This window comes from Homo sapiens, chromosome 1, assembly GCF_000001405.40.
Source record: "Homo sapiens chromosome 1, GRCh38.p14 Primary Assembly".
NCBI lineage: Eukaryota > Metazoa > Chordata > Mammalia > Primates > Hominidae > Homo > Homo sapiens.
In genome coordinates this window covers 116007681-116028939 of record NC_000001.11, presented here as the reverse complement: position 1 = coordinate 116028939, position 21259 = coordinate 116007681, and the positions used below count along the sequence as shown (strand labels likewise).

At 40.2% G+C, this 21259-nt stretch overlaps 1 protein-coding gene across 25 annotated transcripts in view; it reads right to left on the bottom strand.

Annotated features, from left to right (window-relative positions):
• SLC22A15 (solute carrier family 22 member 15) overlaps positions 1 to 21259 on the bottom strand; it is a 93542-nt gene that overhangs the window by 41115 nt on the left and 31168 nt on the right. For 21 of the 25 annotated variants that reach the window (XR_002957027.2, XR_002957032.2, XR_007061934.1 and 18 more), the window contains 3 exons: positions 9226 to 9358; positions 8055 to 8219; positions 1918 to 2047 (listed from right to left, as the gene is read on the bottom strand). Coding sequence is in view for 17 of the 25 variants with exons in the window: in NM_018420.3 (NP_060890.2) it covers positions 1918 to 2047; positions 8055 to 8219; positions 9226 to 9358 (428 nt within the window). In the remaining 8 variants the exon portion in view is untranslated. Of the gene's footprint in view, positions 1 to 1723; positions 1825 to 1917; positions 2048 to 8054; positions 8220 to 9225; positions 9359 to 21259 lie in introns of those variants that run through there. The other 4 variants (XR_007061937.1, XR_007061936.1, XM_047424418.1 and 1 more) reach the window with 3 other exon arrangements.

Genomic DNA, 21259 nt, shown 5'->3' with positions numbered 1-21259 from the left:
AAGACAATGACTTGTAGCTGAAGCTATGATCAGGAAAAGATGGGGTGGACGGCATTTGAGAAAATCAGGACAGTGGTGTACTTATCAAATAAGAAGATCTGGGCAGAAGATTGTTGAAAAAGCAGACACAGCACTGAGTAGCAGCATGGAGCAGAAAAGCATAAGGAACAAGTAGTGCAGTGTGCCTGAACATAGGATGGGAAATTAGGAAAGATAAATGGAGGCTGACTGTGGGAAGCCTTACATTCCAGGCTTAGTGGAATAAGTAAATATTTAAATCTCATGAGTTCTTTTCTCTCTGCTTTCTATTTTTCACGACCTGAACTCACCTCCCAGTGAGGAGATGTTTCCACCTAGCACTAAACAGTAACTAGTTCAGACTATATATTTTAAAAAAAAAAAAAAAAAAAAAAAAAGCAGAACAGCTCAGATCATCCAGTGAAGTGGTGCTACTATTATACTATTAACGGGGAGATGAAAGCCAGATAAGATGGAGAAGTAGGAAATTTACGAAACATTTTAAAAGAAAATTTATTTATTCATCAATATTTACATAAATGTTTATTAATTCTAAGTACTATAGTAGGCACCCATTTATTACTTTCAAAAATTGACAATATACAAGTTAATAAAATCATATTAGTTTCCTCTTCTAATAAAATTATCTCACTCAAATTCATATAACTAAAAATACATTTAATAAATTTTATTTTTAAAATATAGGCCACTTCTACTCTATTCATTTTTGCACTTAACATTCTCTTGCTTTCAAAAATGTATGAAAAATTTCAGTTTAGTCCCCACCAAATCTCAATTTAGACCCCGGATAAAGAGTAAATAAATTAAAGAGCTGTCAGAATTAAAACACTACTACAGGTCTCCTTCACTTTATGGCATAGATGAAGGCAGGAAATACTGGCTGAAAATTTTGTTTATGTCAAAGATTTTGATGATTACCATCAGAGATCTGATATCTCAGGGAAGAAAAGCCTTTCATATACCACTTAAAAAATTCTGCCAGGCGCGGTGGCTCACGCCTGTAATCCCAGCACTTTGGGAGGCTGAGGTGGGCAGATCACCTGAGGTCAGAAGTTCGAGACCAGCCTGACCAACATGGAGAAACCCTGTCTCTACTAAAAATACAAAATCAGTCGGGCGTGGTGGCGCATGCCTGTGATCCCAGCTACTTGGGAGGCTGAGGCAGGAGAATCACTTGAACCCAGGAGGCAGAGGTTGCGGTGAGCCGAGATCACACCATTGCACTCCAGCCTGGGCAACAAGGGCGAAACTCCGTCTCAAAAAAAAAAAAACTTCTGGGGAAATGGTGGCCTGCCTTGTAACATCTATGTGTCTTAGAGGGCCATGGTATGACACCCTTGGGCAGTCATTTATAGAGTCCTTCCCTGACCAGGGAATCATCCTGCCACTGCTATGAGGCCGTGCACCCTAAGGATTTCTCCTATATCTAAGACTCTTCCAGAGTCAATGTTTAGAGGCCCTGAAATGACACTAATCTGTAGGATGAACAGTTGTCACTACATATCCAATATGAATACACTGTTCTACAAAATCATACCTCAGTCACACACCTAGCACATAATGTGATCCAGTCTGAAGACCTTTAAGGTTGAGGTATTAGGTTAAAAAAGCAATTGGTTGCCTATGCCAACAATGTGAAGGTTACAATGCAGTGTATTGAGAGGTTACTTTAAACAAGGGATACCTGCATTCTGAATTAATTAAGCATCTCTCTTCCCAGGAGCTGCCAAGAATTGGAGCACTTGCAGAATTTAGTTCTTCACCAAAGTCAGTGCAGGCAAGCTCCTGAAAGGGAATAATGCTGCTCATTGACCCACATCCTCTTAAGACATTGCTTTGGCTTTTTAAATTAAAACTCTAAGAGGAAAAACTACTTACAAAGATAAGAGAAAGACCACCGTTCCCTGCAGGTTAACCAGAATGGCTAGGGTCCTCCAGGAGCGGATGAAGTATCCTAACAGGGCATATTGGGCAATGCCAACTGCAAAGAACAGGCCGCCAATCGATCCTAATTCAGGGAAAAGAGAACTGTCACTGGAGAAAGCACCATCTGCAGCACCATTTCCAACCCCAAGTTACAGAGCCAATTTCTTCCTGGTGAGATGTCAGCCCTATGCTGGCAACTATAAGAGGCACACCAGAAAAGAAAAAAAAATCTACACTAAGTTGAACATCAGAGAATGAAAGTATCATAGAGGCCAGAAAATTAGTGGAAATAAAGGGAAGATAGACAAAAAATACAAACTATATGGGGATATATAAATTTTAAGAATTTGTCTAAATGCTTTCTGCATTGCCTGTTGTACTGACATTTGCCTGAACCTCTGGCTGAGGCTTGGAAATATTTTTGCCATATGGGTAATACGCTTTTCAGGTCATGAGGTTATTGCAATACCAGAAACTTAATCTTTATCACACAGGCTGCCCTTGAAGTTTCTTTCTTTTCTTTTCTTTCCTTCCTTCCCTTTTTTTTTTGAGACAGAATCTCGCTCTGTCGCCCAGGCTGGAGTGCAGTGGCAAGATCTTGGCTCATTACAACCTCCACCTCCCAGGCTCCCGGGTTCAAGCAATTCTCTGCCTCAGCCTCCCAAGTAGCTGGGATTACAGGCGCCCGCCACCATGCCTGGCTAATTTTTTTTTTTTGTATTTTTATTAGAGATGGGGTTTCGCCATCTTGGCCAGGCTAGCCTTTAACTCCTGACCTTGTGACCCACCTGCCTCAGCCTCCCAAAGTGCTGGGATTACAGGCGTGAGCCACCTTGCCCAGCCGAAGTTTCTTAAATCACAACTCACTCTCCCAATTCTCCCTACTGCCTTCTCTACTTAATGTATTACTATAGGATACATGACATTTTGTATTTATTTGTTTCCTGTCTTTCCCAAGTAGAAAATAAGCTCCCTTAAGCATGGATTTTTGTCAGCACAATGATGGAAAAATATCAACCATGGAATTGTAAAGAACCTTACGCTTTTTGAAATAAATATTGAGATGGGTATTAAACCCACAGGCTTGCCCAATATTCTTGCAAATTCTATACCTCTGACACACTTTCTATAAGTGCCACTACTGCTATTAGTGGTAGTAATAGCTATTATTTATTAAGCATAATGGTTTCACATACATTGTCCTATGAAGTAAGTACCATTATCAACCATATACTGAAGTGGAAAATAGCTCAGAGCGGTTAAATGAAGCTGCCTAAGGACACAGAGCTGTAAGTAGCAGGGCCAGGACTTGTGCCCAGGTTCTGTACCATTCCTCTCTTCTATCTCCCCTCTATGGAAAGGCAATTTCTGTGGGCATTCCACAGTGACAAAACTTTGTTGATCTTGTTACAAAAATAATAATCTTGTAACACATGTGTTTTCTTTGATTCCTATCCATTGCTTATTACTTTATAACAAATAAGTGATGGCTTGTATACTGTTTGACCTAGTGAGGAAAGGGAGAGCTAGAAAGGAAAGCTGATGTGACAGCATGTTCAGAATATGTGGTCCAATGAGTAGTGGGATGAGGACAGTGTGAGTTTCCTGGAAATTTAAGACAGTCAATAGCTACTACTGGTTCACTGCTGTAGATCAAACAGCACCTGGCTTCCAAGAATAAGACTTCTTGTCTATCATTGCTCAGAATAGTCCTGAGCACTCAGTATCCCTTGACAACAATGTAGGCAAAACCAAGAAAGCCCAGAGGAGGGATGGTTTCAGAGGAACCAAGTTCAGATCCTAGTTCTGTTACATACTACTCTGACCTTAGGCAAATCACTAAATATCCCCGAGCCTCAGTTTTCTTATTGGTGAAACAGAAATAACAGTGCCTACCTCATGTTATACAAATGTTCGATATTGTCCTAATGTAATCTGGATTTAGCCCTTCTATTTATTAACCTCAAAAAAAAAAGCCATCTGAAAGCCTCCTGTTGAATCTATCACAGAATATTTGCTACCTGGTTCTCCTTCCTAATTCCAAGAATGTCCCACCCACTGTTGGAGAACCGACTTCCCTGACTTCATCTCTGTGGTTCAAATGGGGCCTGCCAAGTATAGTTCCTCTAACTGCAGGGTGACCCCAATCAGCTGAGCCGATCAGAGGCCTTACCCAAGACTTTAAATACTAGACTTGGAGCTGCTGGGCCCTGTCTGTGACTATGCAGAGGAAGCTTCTCAGAGAGGATGGGGAGCTGAAATGAGAAGCATCTGACTTCTGGTTCTGGGCATCTTCAACGCCTGGTTCTTCATGGTCTAGTTATCCTAACCAAATGATTTTCCCTTATATATGAGCTCATTAGAATGACAACAGGGAGAAGGCGTAGAGATGAATATAATAAGGCTCTATGTTACTTGGTTTAAAAAATTAATAAAAAATAAACATTTCAAGTCATCTTTTCTGGAGTATCATAGGTGGCTTTATAACCATGTATATGCCTTTAAGTACTATGCCTATTTTAAAATTTATTCTCTGCTTATTTTTAATTAATTTCAACTTCGCTATTCCTGCTCAGTTTGCACTAGTAAAAGCTAAACTTCAGCAGGTTAGAAAAGAGTATATAGTTATGACTTCATTTTTGTAAACGGTACCAGTAATCCATCTTCAAATACAGACCATGAAGTCTCCTTGAGTTATTTTGCTCTCCCCATCTCTACTGGTCCTTTAGCAAGTCACTTTCCCACCAAAATCCAGCTCAGACACATCCTCTTTCTTCTCCACTGCTTCCATCCTGTCTAACCCACCACTGGTTTCATGTGGCCAACTATAGCAGCCTACTAAATGATCCCTCAATTTCTGTACCTACCAGAGTAATCTTTCTGTATATGAGACCCTATCACTCCTGTATTTAATATGCCCCACTGGCTTCCCACTGTACTTCAAGTAAAAAACAAATTCCTCATTTGGCCCATCACAGGCCCTGTATCATCTGGTCCCTCTCAGTTACTTCACTCTTTCCTTAACTCTCTACCCTGTAGTCATGAGAACGTTTTCAAAACTTTTCAAAGAAGTTCCTTCCTGCTTCAAGGCCTGGGTCTTTGCCATTCCATCTAGCTAGAATATACTTCTCCCAGAATTTCACAGGCCTGGGTCTTCCTAATCATTCATGTCTTAGATCAAACACCCACATCGAGGTTTTCTCTAACTATCCTATTTAATATAGTTACTCCCCACAATTACTATCTAGCCCATTACCCTGCTTCATTTTCTTCATTGTACTTCTAATTTTCAGAAATTATCAATTTGTTCCACTTTTCCTAAGTAAAGCATCAGTTCCATGAGAGCAAGAACCTCCCCCAAATCATCCCTGTCTTTTCCACCTTTTTATCTAAAAAAAGCAGTGTCTGGTACATGGCAGAATCCGTTTAATAAATGAATGCTGTGGAATAGACATGCAAAGGAAAAGCTCTGGAAGCATACATAGCAATATGTTAACCATGGTCGTCTCTAGGGGAATAGGACTACATGTATTCTTTAGTTTGATGACGTGTGCATATATTTCTTAATTATTTTCTACAATGAACATGAATTGTTATATGAAGACATTAATATAAGAAAACAAATAATAAATATATTAATATGGAATTTTTCACAGCTTCAGTATTTTTTGTTTTTCACTTCTTAATAATTTTCAGTCAATTAGCCAGAAATCCTTTTTGTTAAGTACTACAATGCAAACTGGTCAAAAATGGATGCTTGCAGTTCGTACTTGTGTTTTTTGGTATATGTTTACATATTGTTTTTTACATATTGCAAATATTATTTTGTAATAAGCATAATTTTTCAAACTAATTTTCATTGCCAAATAATCAGGCTATTTCCAGCAAATCCCCTATTGCTGAACATTTAGGGTTTTCTCTGACTTCTTGCAATTCATAAGCATATTTGAAGCCACAGGTGTAGATAAAATCATTCTGGAAAGAAATCAGCTTGAAAAGAAAGACCAAGGACAAAACCCTGGGGAAGACCTCGGTTCATGAGAGAGGGAAGGAAGCTACTCAAAAAAAGTTCCAGGTGCTATCAGAGCCTTACTTTGTCCTGGGTGCAGGGCTGTGTACTGGTCTTCAGGGAACTCTCATACATGCTCTCAATTTCACATTGAATTTGGCAACCATGTGGTTTCACTGTTACAGTTTTTCTTCCTCTCTCCCTTTTCACTTTGCTACAGAAATTTTGATAGTCTCATCTTAACCCAGCATCAAGGATAAGAATGAGAGGTCAAAACACTCCAAGGGGACTCTTTTCACTGGCTTTAGGCAACTAGCAAGAGAGCAAGAGACCAGGGTTGGTCCTTTCCCCTAACACATGCAATATGACAGGAAAAATACTTAGATAATCTGGCAGGGTGGGAGTGGTATACGTTTTTTATAAAACAGCATCTTCATGCAACGACTAAAATCAAATATAAATACTATAATGGAGAAATGTTAAGAGGTACAAGAAAAATATGTATTCATGGTGCTCTACATGAGCACAATTTTGGACCTCAGGAAAACTGAAATCAAAGGAGAGAGTGCCTTTTTCCCTTCCCTGGATACAGGGAGCAGGCATGATCACCATCATTACCAACTTCTTAGAAAGTCCCAGGAAATTGGCCATACTATTCAGAAAAATGACCCTAAAGTCTCAATGCAAATTGAAGACTCAGAGGAAGCTTTTTCACTCATCCCAGCTTAGGACCAGTTCCAAAAAGGCTTTCGAAGTTGCTACAGACAAGGTGAATCCTAAGGCAACACTGTTTGAGACCAGCAGGAAGCCTGTCTGGAGAGGATGGAGCTGGTGTCTCTTCCTCTCCAGCCTAGTTCTAACTGGTCCAACCCTATGGATCCTTCCACTCGACAGCTGTTTAGTGGAGATGCAAACAGACCACAAGTCTACTTTATTTAGCCTTGTGTCTTCCAGCTCGATACAATAGCCCATACACTTCAAAAACAACACCAGTTAGAAATAACAGGTTGACCAGGCCAGCACTCACATGAGGTGACATGCTGAAGTTCCAAGAGGAGAGTCTTTGGGGAACAGTGGAAGATGACCTGGGTGTCATCAAGACCCAGGTTGCAGTTCTGGCCCTGTCAGTTATCAGCTGCTGAAAACAGGCATGTCACCTCATCTCTCAAAGGCTCAATTTCATCATCCATAAAATGAAGGTAGGAATCCTTAACTTGTAAGCTCCGGGAATATTACAGATGGATGTCAAATGCCTAGCATGGTAGCTGGTACATAAGAGATGGCTGGCACTGTGTATCAGGTTCTAAGAAATGGCCTTCTCATATAGATCCTCCCAAAGACACATTTCCATCAGTCACACGGTCAACCTGTTTCCCATATCCATATAAGAACATCCATGGGAAACATTCAACCATTGTCAAGTGAATGAAAGTAAAAGAAACAAAAAGTTATCATTGCAAACCTAAGTCTATAAAGTCTTAGACACAGTTACTTCTCTTATGACAATATTTGAAATTAAATAACCTTTTAAAATCATTTATTTTACTATCTATGTAGTTCTTGAGAAAATAATGGGATAGTCAAAAATAATTCAGAATACAGTCTCAATTTTGGAAATTAAATATCAATAAAGAAATGCTACAATAGTACTATGTTGACTTGAGAGCAGTAAAAACAAAAAAGGGCTGTGAAACAAAAATTTAATAAACTAGAATAAAAAGGCTGTAAGAAAGGAGTTTCTAATATTTCCTATGTCTGCACTATTTTTCAGTTTAAGTTGTAAAAATTTGCTAGTGTCCTTCCGAGGAAATCAATAGTCTCCACAGTAATCTGTAGGCAGTCCATGAGGCGGATGGCAAGCTCACATGTGAGGCAGGCCCCCAGGAAGACTGTCTACAGAGGAATATTAATAAAATGACTTGTTCAGGGTCATACAGAACCAAATCAGAAAAGCAAATCTAATAGTTGGATAAAGTACCTCAAGTCCAAATGCATTTCCAGACTCTAGGATTAAACTGGGTCCCTATAAAATTTTCTGGAGCTGCTCACCCAGTCCAGAGCTGCATGATTTAAGTAGTACCTGCAAGTGCCCAGTAGGCGGTGCCCACACATTCATTAAGCAAGACAAAGGCCACCAGCGACATCCCTCCATTCATCATGCCCACCAGGAAGCGAGTTACTGCAAAGAACTCATATGAGGGGGAAAATCCATTTGCAATTGCAAATAAGATGTCAAGAGCAAAACCTAGAAAGAGAAAACAATATTCAATAATCCAGAGGCAAAATAGCATTTGATGAAAGTAATAAATTATATTCATTAGCTTATAAAATAAATGTTTGTAAACTTAAATTTTCTGAGCTGTTTTTGTGGGTTTCTTTTTGTTTTTTTTTGTTTTTTTGTTTTTTTTTTGAGATGGAGTCTCGCTCTGTCACCCAGGCTGGAGTGCAGTGGCACAATCTCGGCTCGCTGCAAGCTCCGCCTCCCGGGTTCACACCAATCTCCTGCCTCAGCCTCCCGGGTAGCTGGGACTACAGGCGCCCGCCACCATGCCTGGTTAAATTTTTTTTGTATTTTTTAGTAGAGACGGGGTTTCACCGTGTTAGCCAGGATGGTCTCAATCTCCTGACCTCGTGATCCACCCACCTCGGCCTCCCAAAGTGCTGGGATTACAGGCGTGAGCCACCGCGCCCAGCCAGCTGTGTGTTTTTTTTTTTTTTTAACAGCTTCTCTTGGAAACTATTTTTTTAAAAAACCATAAGGTTTACTTTATTACATGATTTCTGTCAATCACAGACAGTTTTCAATTATTCACAATAATGCTGGAAAATGAAAAACCCTTGCTCATACTCAGCTTGTCAAGAGCACTATGCCAAGTCCTGTAGAGCTCATTTGAAATGAATCAACACAGAGAGATATAAGGAAATGGGCCTAGTACACTGTCACAGTCTTTTACTTCTCTCCTTAGCAACATGGCATAAACTAAAATTTGGGGGTTGCAGAAAGCACCATCACCTATGAACGGTTTAGAACACAAATATCTGACTTTAACTAGGTGGGCTAGTAACTTAAAGGTGCCTGGCCAGAAGCACTCAAGCTGCAGTTTGGCCTCTTGCCAGGATAATAAAGATCAGTTCTGTGTCCATATGCCAATTCCCGGAGAACCTTAAGGAAATAGTCCCCTTATTATTTCCCTAAGAATCTTAGAGAAATAAGCCCTCTCATCCAGTTTATGAATACTCTAATAGATTACCTGTGAGATAGACTTTTTTCCTTCCGAAGCGATCTGAAAGCTGACCAAAAGAGATAACTCCAACAAATACACCACTGAAGAAAAAAGAGCTTGCTGCACTGACTTTGTAGGATCTGTTGGCAATTAAAAACCACTAGAGGAAGATAAAACAAAAGAGAGACATGTAGGATTCAGTTAGCTATTAAAAAACCAAATGTGCAACAAAAACTTGTACACCAGAATTTCTATACTGCATGATCCACTATTAACCAGAATTCAGTAGAATTTGTCTATCTCAGACAACGTCCAATCAGATTTTATCTTCAGAAACACTAGAAATCACTATTATTATGATGCACTCCCACAGTACTCTATACATATCTTATTACAGAATTGAACACAATGTATAATAGCTAATTACTTATGCATCTATTGACTATGTCCCACATCCTAAGGCTCTGTGTTTCTTGAGAGGAGCCTTGTCCCATTTATTTCCATTCTCTGATGCCTAATACACTATATGACATATATGAAGCAATAAATACATGAACTTTTTGTCCAATTGGCTTATGGGTTTAAAATCTCTTGAGTATTTCCCTCAAAAAGATTAAACACAGAATTACCATATGATCTGGCAATTCCATTTCCAGGCATATACCCAAAAGAACTAAAAGCAGGGACACGAAAAGATATTTGTACACCCATGTTCATAGCACCTGTATTTGCAATAGCTAAAGGTGGAAACAACCTGTGTCTATCGATGGATGAAGGAATAAACAAAATGTTGTATGCACATACAGTGGAATATTACTCAGCTTTAAGAAGGAATGAGAGAATAGCCAGAGATTTGTTAAAGGATACAAAATTACAGCTAGATAGGAAGAATAAGTTCTAGTATCCATATCACTGTAGGATGACTATAGCTAACAATAATATACAGCTTCAAATAGCTAGAAGGAGGATATCAAATGTTCCCAATACAAATGATAAATATTTGAGATGACAGAAATGCTAATTACCCTTATTTGATCACTATACATTGTATGTATTAAAACATCACCATGTAGCCCATAAATATAATTATGTCAATAAAATTAAAAAAATAAAAAGGAAGAGGCTGAGGGGGGCAGATCACAAGGTTAGGAGATCAAGACCATCCTGGCTAACATGGTGAAACCCTGTATCTACTGAAAAATACAAAAAATTAGCCGGGCGTGGTGGTGGACGCCTGTAGTCCCAGCTACTTGGGAGGCTGAGGCAGGAGAATGGTGTGAACCCGGGAGGCGGAGCTTGCACTGAGCTGAGATCGCGCCACTGCACTCCAGCCTGGGAGACAGAGCGAGACTCCGTCTCAAAAATAAAAAATAAAATAAAATAAAATAAAAAGGAAAAAAATTCTGATTCATGCTACAACCTAAACTCTGAAGACATTATACTGTATGAAATAAGCCAGACACAGAAACACAAATATAGCATGATTCTATTTATATGAGGTACCTGGAATAGTCAACTTCATAGAGGCAGAAAATAGAATGGGTGGTTACCAGGCGCCAGAAGGAGGGGGGAACAGGGAATTATTGCATAATGGAACAGAGTTTCAGTTTGGAATGTTGAAAGCGTCCTGGAGATGAATAGTGGCAATGGTAACACAGCAATTTGAATGTATGCAATGCATCTGAAACTACACACTTAAATGTGAATAAAATGGTAAATTTTATATCACGTATATTTATGACAAAAGAAACTCCTTTAGTATCTTCTACTTTAGGGAAACTTAGGAACTTAAAGAGAAAGCAACCATTCTCTGGTTAAAACACCACTATCTCAAGTCTTGTCTAGTGATGTGTTAAAGATGATATTTGGTTATAAGAATAAAAGTGAACCCATGTCACAGAATAACCTCAGAGAACCAAGAGACCACTCATCCTTCCTCTTCCTGGTCCCCTTCGCTAGAATCAGTGCTGACAGGTGTGTGAAGGGCTCCTCCTCCTCGAGAACTTGCAATAAAGAATCTTCAGTTGCTCTCTCCACTTTTCAGATCACTCCCTTCTGATGCTTCCACAACCAGTCATCATGGCTCAAAGTACATCTAACTTCTCTCCTTCCCTCCTAGTCTTGTAAGACTGGATTGATAAAGGTCTTGACAAGACAGCTTCTGGACATCTCTATGCAAAACCACCCACCAAAAGGCTCAGGAATTGGGAAAAACAGATGAGAATAATGTCCCCTTACTAATGTATGCTTTACTTCTGAATTCCATTCTTCACATGCAATTCTTAACAAGGTAAATTAGCTGGTTTTCCTAGCCATTCTTGGATTTACTATTTCTTTCTTTCCTTTTTTTTCTTTTCTTTTTTTTTTTTTTTTGGCAGGGTTTCACTCTGTTGCTCAGGCTGGAGTGCTGTGGTGCCATCACAGCTCATTGTAGCCTTGACTCCCCAGCCTCAAACAATCTTCTTGCCTCAGCCTCCCAAGTAGCTGGGACTGGAGGGAGCCACTTTAAATACGTGGTTCAGGGGAGGATTCTGGGCGGAGGTGACATTTGTGACCTGGATGATGACAAGTAACCAACCACAAAAAAACTCTTCGGGGAAAATAATTGCAATGGCCCCAGGTGAAAACACACCAGTGTATCTCTAGTGGAGGTGGTATGAAATTAGGCCAGTGAAGCAGGTGGGCATCAGATCATGCAAGGTTAGGCCACAGTAAGGAGCTGAGAGATTTTATTCTAGTGCAAAGAACGAATATTGAATTACTAGGTTTATGTTTCTAAAGATCACTCTGGCCACTTTATGAGAATGCAATATGATAGCAAAGAGTGGAAGCAGGGGAGTTACAGTAATCATTTAGGAGATAATGATGGCTTGGATGAAGGTGGAAACAGTGGTGATGGAGAGAACTGAATGGACTTGGGATGTATTTTGAAGGCAGGACTGTCAGATGTTGTGATGGAGATGCAGTAGGAGTAGGAACGAATGGAAGAGTCACCTAAATTGTTCATTTTAGCCACTCTCTGGGTGGTTGTGACATTTATCAAGACAGAGAAGGCTGCAAGGGGTGTTAGGTACATGGTGGGAATTCAAGAGTTCTGTGTGAAGAAGCTCAGACAGAGCACGCATATAAAACATCTAAGTAGAGAAGTCAAGCAGGCATTTGGCTGGGAGTCAAGCTCATGGGAGAGGTTATGAAGGTTTATGAAACTACAGATACAGGCTGGGTGCAGTGGCTACGCCTGTATCCCAGCACTTTGGGAAGCTGAGGCCGGTGGATTGCTTGAGCCCAGGAGTTCAAGAGCAGCCTGGGCAACATGGCGAAAACATGTCTATACAAAACACACAAAAATTAGCTGGGTGTGGTGGTGCACACCTGTAGTCCCAGCTACTCTGGAGGCTGAGGTGGCAGAACTGATTGAGCCTGGGAGGTTGGGGCTACAGTGAGCCATTACAGTGAGCCTGGGAGGTTGGGGCTACAGAGTGCCATTGCACTCCAGCCTGGACAACAGAGTGAGACCCTGTCAAAAGAGAGGTGAGAAGAGGGGAGGGGAGGGGAAAGGAGGGGAGGGGAACAGAGAGAAGAGAGGGATAGAAGAGAAGAGGAGAGAAGGAGAGAAGAAAAGAGAGAAAGAAGGAGAGAAAGAGAGAAAGAAAAGAAAAGAAAAAGAAAGAGAAAGAAAGTTTCATATAAAAGAGATTAAAAGAGCTCCAGCATTTGAAGAAAAAATTTTGTTTTGTAAAAAATTAATTTATTTTGAAACATGGATAGTTCTGTGGTAGGATTTTTGACTCATGAGGAATGCTTACGGTAACATTTTACCAGGTCTAAAAATAAATCAATATGAGATATCAGGTTGTCCTAGAAAAGACAGGACTGTATCTGTCACAGGGAGATCCCTTCTTTTACAGTGGCCAATGTACACAGCTTAATTGTACTTGTTCTTAATACCTTGAAATTCAAACACTTGCTTTTTTTAAAATTTATGTTCTTAGTGTTTGTTTTAGTCTCTTCATGCTTTCAAAATCTGGCCTGCAACTTTAGTCTTCATTAACCTGCACCTCAAGTTTTGCTAGTCTGTTTACACGGCCAAGATACTGATCTTGGCCTGTTTTATTGATTAAACACGAAACTGATCTGTTTTGTGCTTAATCATTAAAAAATGGCTAATTTGAAAACTCCATAATCAACTATTCTGTTGCCTCATTTGCTGAACTTCTCAGATCCATGGAAAAGGCTACAATACTATCCTTTTAAGTGGATAGCTGTCAACTTTTGTGGCAATTTTAGGAAGAAGTAGCCCAAGGGATGTTTGAGCAGCAAATTCCAAATTCTGATTCTCAGGTTGCCATTTCCAAGTGTCAAAGTAACTGCTAGTAATTTTTCTTCATGTCAATGCTAGTTGAGCTCATGTGTCTCTCTATTACTCTTGGAATACATGCAGGAACTGACAGAAAAATGGAAAGACAGATTTTTCAAAAGCAAATTAGAGAATGTGAAGCTGGAACCCAGATCTCCCTGACAGATCCTAGTGAACTGGGGATGGTTGACACAGGGATGCCAACTCACAGATTCAGAACAATGGGTTGACAACCAGCCCTCTGCATCCTTCATCTCCCAACATGTGAGATATTGGTTTAAATGTTTTGTTTTGCCCAATTTTAAAAACTTTTCAAGTATTGTTGATATACGTATCACATACCTACTATGTGATCTAAGGAGTTTTATTTTGTCAAAGCCCAGAGAAGATACACTAGGATATTGATCCCTATAGTATTTGAGAAAATGTACTGGCGTAATCTATACTTAAAGTTTTGGAAGGAGCTCACTCAGCAGACTAGACTCAATTGCTAGCTCATTTTCTTCCCCCTTTGGTCAATACTTAGTACTAGGATAAAACCCAAACCAGGATATTACCAGGTCATTTTAAGTTAAACTATAATAAACCTAAATATGATAAGTGTGGCTCTCAAGAAATGTGTTTTTTATGAGTCTTTAGATTTTAAAAATCACTAATTTATAAGTCATTCAAATGCTGTTGAGTAGAGATTATTAAGGTGATGAATTTCGTATTATCTTTTGTTAATAATAGGCCAAATTCTAAAGCCACAGAATGAATGTTCTTTTTATGTTAAGGTACTTCAAATTGAAAAATCATTTGCAAATTGAAAAAGCAGGAAATCTACTTTTCTTTTCCCATATATTAATAGAAAAGGAGGACTATAAAGACAAAATATTTTCAGTCTCTCAGGCTGACTTACATCTGTTTTATAACCAGCATCTGTATTTTTGTTCTTATACACTAAATTGAGTTGAGCATTCAATATACTCTATTTTCAAAAAGGATTTGAGGGGCACAGCACTAAAAGCACTCGTATAATCATTCACTGATCTAAAGAAAGTGGACCTGAGAGAAAATCAGGCACAACTGGGGGCAGAACCAATAGCAGGTGCCTCTAACATAAAAGATGAAAGGAACATAAATATGGCAAATACAGGTGTGAGCACAGAGCCAGGGCTATGCAGTGCCTTCCAGTTCCTAAAGAGGAAAAAAGCTAGGTGAACAGAAGTGAAGGGGGTTGAGACAGAGACACTCTTGGCTGGGTACTAATGAAACATTTGGAGGTTTCTTTTTTTGATATTTATATTCTTACTGCTTAGATGCTGAGAATAAATGGCATGTCCTGATAAGGGATAAAGTACTGGCGTACATCAAGAAAAGCTGCTTTAGCTGCAATACAGAGAACAGAATGGAGGTAGCAAGCATGTGAGCGGGAAGATCCATCAAAGGCCATTACAACCGTGCAGGCCAGAACTGGAGACTTCCAGAAGAGAAAGGATTCATGCTGGATATAGATGCCTGGAGTTCAGAGGTGAGATCTGGGGCGAGTCATCCATGAACAGGTATTATTTGAAGCCACCAGGATGGATTAGGCCAACCACAGACTGAGTGGAGCTTGAAGATAAATTTTAAAGGAAGCAACCAAATGTATCTTTAGCATCTCTCTTAAAATCATAAAACCTTAAGCTTTATGGACATGTCACAAATCAAATAAATCATTTTCCTGAAATACAAATATAATCTGAAAAAACAAAATATTGCTTTAAAATGGACCACATGCTTATGTAATCCCCAAAACAAAATTAACATCTGAGTAATGAAACAATGTATATCAAAGATATGTCAAAGAGGAACGCTGCCATATCTTATAACCAGATAATAACCAACGAACTTTCACGTAATACTCTCCCCTCATCCCCAAGAGCCAGCCTTTGGTATGTAAATTACAATATATTGGCTAAGACTTTCTATTTTTTCACCCTCAGCATGTGTTCCATTCAGGAAGCTATGGAAAAAGTCAACTGAGTACTAGAGGGAATACTAGAAATAAGGGGTCCTTTTGACTTAGACAGGGTAACAGAATCAGATGTCACTAAAAAGGAGCGGGAAGGAAGAAAAGGAAGGTTGCATGTCAAGCATGAAGTGAGGGTTATGGCCTGTGTGCTTGGGGAACAACAGGGAGAAGGCTGGGGATGAGGGAGAAGAGAATATAGATGCCCCTCGACTTACGACTGGGCTGCCCCCAACCCATGGTAAGCTGAAAATATGGTAAGTTGAAAATGCATTTAATGCACCTAACCTACCGAACATCATACCTCATAGCCTACATTAAATGTGCTCCAAACACATTATCCTACAGTTGGACCAAGTCATCTAACACAAAGCTGACTTTATAATAAAGTGCGGACTACCTCATGTAATTTACTGAATACAGGAGAGCACTGTAGAGAATAATATCACTTGTTTGCCCTCAAGGTCACATGGCTGACTGGGAGCTGCTGCTGATGGGGAGCTGCCCAGCATCATGAAAGAGGATCCTTCCACACTTACTACTAGCCCAGGAAATGATCAAAATTCAAAATTGGAAGTACAGTTTCCACTGAATACTTTTCACTTTTGCACCATCATAAAGTCAACAAATCATATGTCAAGCCATCCTAAGTTGAGGACCACCTATAATGTGTTTTAAAATCAACTTCCAAAGTGGTTATTTTCATATTTGGCTGATCTTTTGTTTCAGCGTGTATCTTACTCCACAGTGTGTGTTTTAAATACAAATACCTAATAAATTTCCATTTTTTAATTGACTTGTATCATTTACACTTACTGTCTATCTGACATCCTAGTGTACCCATATGACACAAACAAGCCATCTCCAGGTTTCTTTCTTTTCCTTCCTCCACCGAATAGCCCTGTGCTGTTATTATTATCCTTCCCTACTGTATTAGAGCACAGGGATCAGGAGATATTTCTTTTTTTTCTTTTTAAGGGACAGGGTCTTATTTTGTTGCCCAGGCTAATCCATGAACTAGGAGATATTTCTTAAGTTGATCATGAATATTAGGAAGACCAAAGAGCAAGAAGGACCTCTGTCATACTGACTCCGAGAACTGAGACACATATCCAGCCTCTACTCTGAGCAACTTCTCCTTGGCTCTGCAAATGTGATAAATTTGTCTGCTTCCGTTTTTTCCTGTGACCTAAACAACCCATTGTAGGTTTTTTATTTCTTCTTCTAATTTATAGTGACATTTCATGGAATAATAGTTGAAAAACATGCTATAATCACAAACCACTCTAATGAAGGGAGAAGTGAATGGTAAAGAAAAAAATCATTTACTCCAAGCTTTTACAAGCAGTGGGTCATTTCCCTCCCACAAGTGGGCTTTGCCCTTTCTTGCCCTCCCTGTTTTGGCTCAGGGCAGGTGACTGACTCTGCATCTCCCACAGATGAATAATGTAGGACCACTGTCGTGCAGAAGTCTAGGTAAGGGTATGGTTACCCAAAGAAAGGCAAACAGATTTCTCATTCCACTTTTGCCATGAAGCATGACACCTGCCAAAAAGACCACTCTCAGTATGCACTGTGCCCTCCTCTCCCCACTCCCCACTTGCATCCCCACCTCCTCCCCCGTGAACTATTCATTCTCCATGACACACCTTAAGTCTCGTCTGACTTACCCCAGCAGAGCTTACCACTCTCTCCTTTCTGCCACATCACCCTATTTTTGCTTTACAATGATGCATGGTGAAGTGTGTCCATTTGTCTCTCCCCTATGATGCTGTGAGATTCTTAAGGGCATATTTGTATCCCCCATGCTAAACTTACAGTGTCTGTCAGCACTAATTAATTATTTGCTGAATTATTTATGTAAGAAGAGCAAGTGCCATCGTCTTATAGGCATCTTCACACACAATATCTCCAGGTCATGACTTCAAGCATCAGGTTGTGGGTTTACGGGCATACAGGGAACTACCTAATTGGTCACCATTTCCTTGGAGCCACCGAATGCCATTCTCTTGAAAAGGAGTGTAGACAGATTTAGAATTTGAGGGGGTTTCCTTCTTCCTATAGCCAATCTGACAGCTAGAATACTTGATTTTATCTTTAGCCCCTGAAAGCACTTTAGCTGGTCCACAAATATCCCCACTGAGAGAAGGATATACAATCATGCAGGGATAAGAAATGTGCCATGGATGATTCACAGTATATCAAGGAACCTGCAAGCCAGGCAGGGGCTGTGGCAGTTTAGACAGTAGTACCTAGCCCCTCAGCTGGCTGCTGTATCCCTTCTAAAAGGCAGACTTTTTCAGGGACCCACATAGTTCACTAGTCCCAACACAGCCTTCTCTGAAAGGAGGACGCACCACATGACTGTTCAGGGCATAGCCCACCTAATCATAAAGGAAAGGAAGACAAAGGGCAGGTCACCCTGGTTGTCCAAGCAGGTCAACCAAAATGGGCAAACAAGACTGGGCCCGTGCCTATTGATCGAGCCTCTTGTTGCTGGAGGTCATGCTTTGATGAAAACCAAGTCATATTATAACTGCCACAGCCCTACCCAGACTCCTAGCTTGTCAGTATTTCAAGGCTGCGGGGATGAAGCCAATAGCAGCTTCCTAGGATCCCTGCAGCACATCCATGAGGGCTCTACGCAATCAGAGAGTCGCTATGGTCTCCTGTGAAAAATTCTGAATGGCTCTGATAACAATTCCAACCAAACTTCAGCCCTCCCCTGGCCTGTATTTAAAATAAAAATAATTACAACTTTGTACATGAAAATCTAACTTCAGGAGAAAATCAGGTAATCAGAGGCCTCCTGTGACTAGGGAGTACTTGGACAGGGTATTTCAGGAACAGTTTCATGGTGATTAACTAACTTGCTTCATTTCAATGTAGTTGTCACTCTGAATTACCACTTAATGGGTGAAGTCTGCAGGCTATAACAGTCAGTAGTACAGGCGTAAGGAAGCAAGACATTAAAAAAAATTAGCCCCTAAAGCAATTAATTGCAGTGAATTTTTCAAATAGTTTTAATACTCTGTCTTTTGACCCCAGGGTATGGCTTGGGGAAAATATATTAATCTCAAGATAACAGTCAGTCAATTTCAGCTCTTCAATATCCACAGTGATATTAAGAATTCCAACCTTACACTTTTTGGTTGCAAACATTAATTAAGCATGATAATTGTGTGTCTCCGTGATATTTGGTGCTTTCTGAATGAGTCAGAGCTCAGGGAATAATCTGAATACAGCAGACAGCAATTTGCTACATAAATTCGCTCCAATAGCTATTAGCTCATTTTAGAATAGTCAAGACTCCTAGATTAGAGTTTTGCATTAAATACCAAGTTAATCACATCCACCTAACCTTTTATTTGCCCTTCCCAAAAACTCTTCTAAAGAAACTTCTGCAAGGCCTGACCCAAGTGTAATAAGGTGCAGGGTAGACGTTAAAAATGTGTGTTTTTAACACAGTATCTTTAAACTATAGAGTTTCGTAGAATCTCTCTTAATATTTATCTTCCAAAATTTTATGTGACGGGTCAACAGGGCTTCATATTTGTTTTTTAACTTTGATTTCAAACAAGATTATTTCAATATGAACCAAACATTACCTATATACCACAGATTATATATTAAGGATATTCACCAACTTAGTGACATGTTTAGGTACCAATTTCAATACTCCTTTAGAGATTTGCAGGAGCAAGTGAGAGTCTAGTGAAGTCATTGAAATTGACTTAATGCTAAGAAATTAAGTGGAGGTTTTAGTTTGGCACTGCACTTCATTGTAATAAGGATGAACTCAACACAGTGCAGAGACTAGTGGTTCCTCAAGAACACCGGCTAAAGTGTAACTGATGCCAACATGCTGCCTGGTGCTGCTGGCCTTGGCTGCCCCTTGATCACCATTCACATTATTCTCCATTCTGCTGCTGTCTCTCCTTGATTCTTATCATTTTGTTAGCAGCAGCAGGAAACTTTCAAGCTACCTATACCACACCAGCACTTGGAACAGCACCCAGACAGGCCTCTAAAGCACAAAGCAGAAGTACAGTGCGTGAACTAACATATAATTCACACTCTGAACGGTGGGACGGGAGCACACAGCACAGACACTTCATTGGTACCTCAATATAAAGGACTTCAGGAAAAACAAGAGATTCTGTGTTAAACATGTGAAACAGAGGAGGCCTTTGTTAGGTCTCCCTGAATCTATTCAGAGAGGAGAGACATAGTGAATGTTGTCACTGGGGCAGGTGGTTGCGGGGCTCTGAGAATACAGTGAACTGCTGAGAGTATGAGACTTAACTATTGTTCATTCTATTTAATTCTCCTTTGTTATTTTTTGTTCTGTTAGGAAACATGTACATTTATTTGAGCTTGACCAGCAATAAAGCTTAATGTAATCATTACTACTTCCACCGTACTTGAGTGGGTTTTGTGGGGGTGGAACACTGGCCAGGCTCCTCATGAGTCTGACACACATGCCCCAGGTCACATCACCTTGTAGAAGGCAGACGCTGACACCACTCACAGATGGGCTGCCTGCCTGGCCTCCTTCTTTCTGCTGGGCCCATGCCACAGTGGCCAGGCTTGTTTACTAACTGTGGGGCACTGAGGAGGTCACCCAGCTACTCTGAGCCCATGTCTTCTTCCCTTTTTAATTAGCAGACTAGTATTATTGCTTTCCCTTCTCCCCTAGAATTCACTCTGCCCAAAGCACTCTCAAGCAGGTGACTGCGAGCATCTTATTTAGCTTTCAGCCTAATGTGTTGGGGAAGAAATGAAACTTTTTATATGAGGAATGTGAGCTCTGCCTAAATTATTGGGCCCAGAGAGGCACTGGAATGAAGCAGCAGTCATGTCCCCATCTCCCCTTGAGCCAAGTATCATCTCTTGAAGCTGCTTGCTATGTGGACTCTAGATTGATGCCACTGGTAGCTATACATTAACCTAACAATGCTACACACTGGACACCATAACCCCTACTCTATAGTTCAACAATATAAAGCCAATTACTGATCAATGTTATTTATGTAAACTAATGAAAACTCCTAACAAACAATCTTGTATCCACCCACTCCTTGTTCCTCTTTTTGCCTTTAAAAGATTACTTGCCACAAAGATTGAAAAGAGCGCTTCCTACAGTAACCGGGAAGTGTTTCCTGGGCAGCTGTGCTCACCCTGGCTCAAAGAAACTCTTTAAAATTATATTTTGTGCCTCAGTTTCTTCCTTTAGGTTGATATTTCATGCCCCATACACTATCTCCCCACGGTCACTGTGCTAACTGTTCTCAAATCCGCCAAGGCATACTCCCATTGGCTCTTCCTGTCCCTTCACTGCCAGTGAGCCAAGGGGCCCAGGCAGAGTCGATCTTCACCCTGTTCTCATGGACATGTTTCTGGGGCTGCCACAAATGGCTGGCGGTGGCAGAGGTGCTGAGGCCCTGGACCCTACTCCTCTGCAATGACAACAGCAAAGTATCTAGCTCTTCTAAATACTGAAATGCCAACTAAGATACCATTTAAAACTAAAGGCTTCTATTCTTTTTTGTTTTTTAAAAAAGCTTGAAAATCACTAGTGAAGTGGAAAGAATATGAGCTCATTGAATCCCAGACTAGCAGCTTATTAGGTGTATGATTTAGGGAAAATTCTTTAAATTCTCTTCATCTGTTATTTCACTAATAGAGTGGGGTTGTTGGTAGGACTAAAT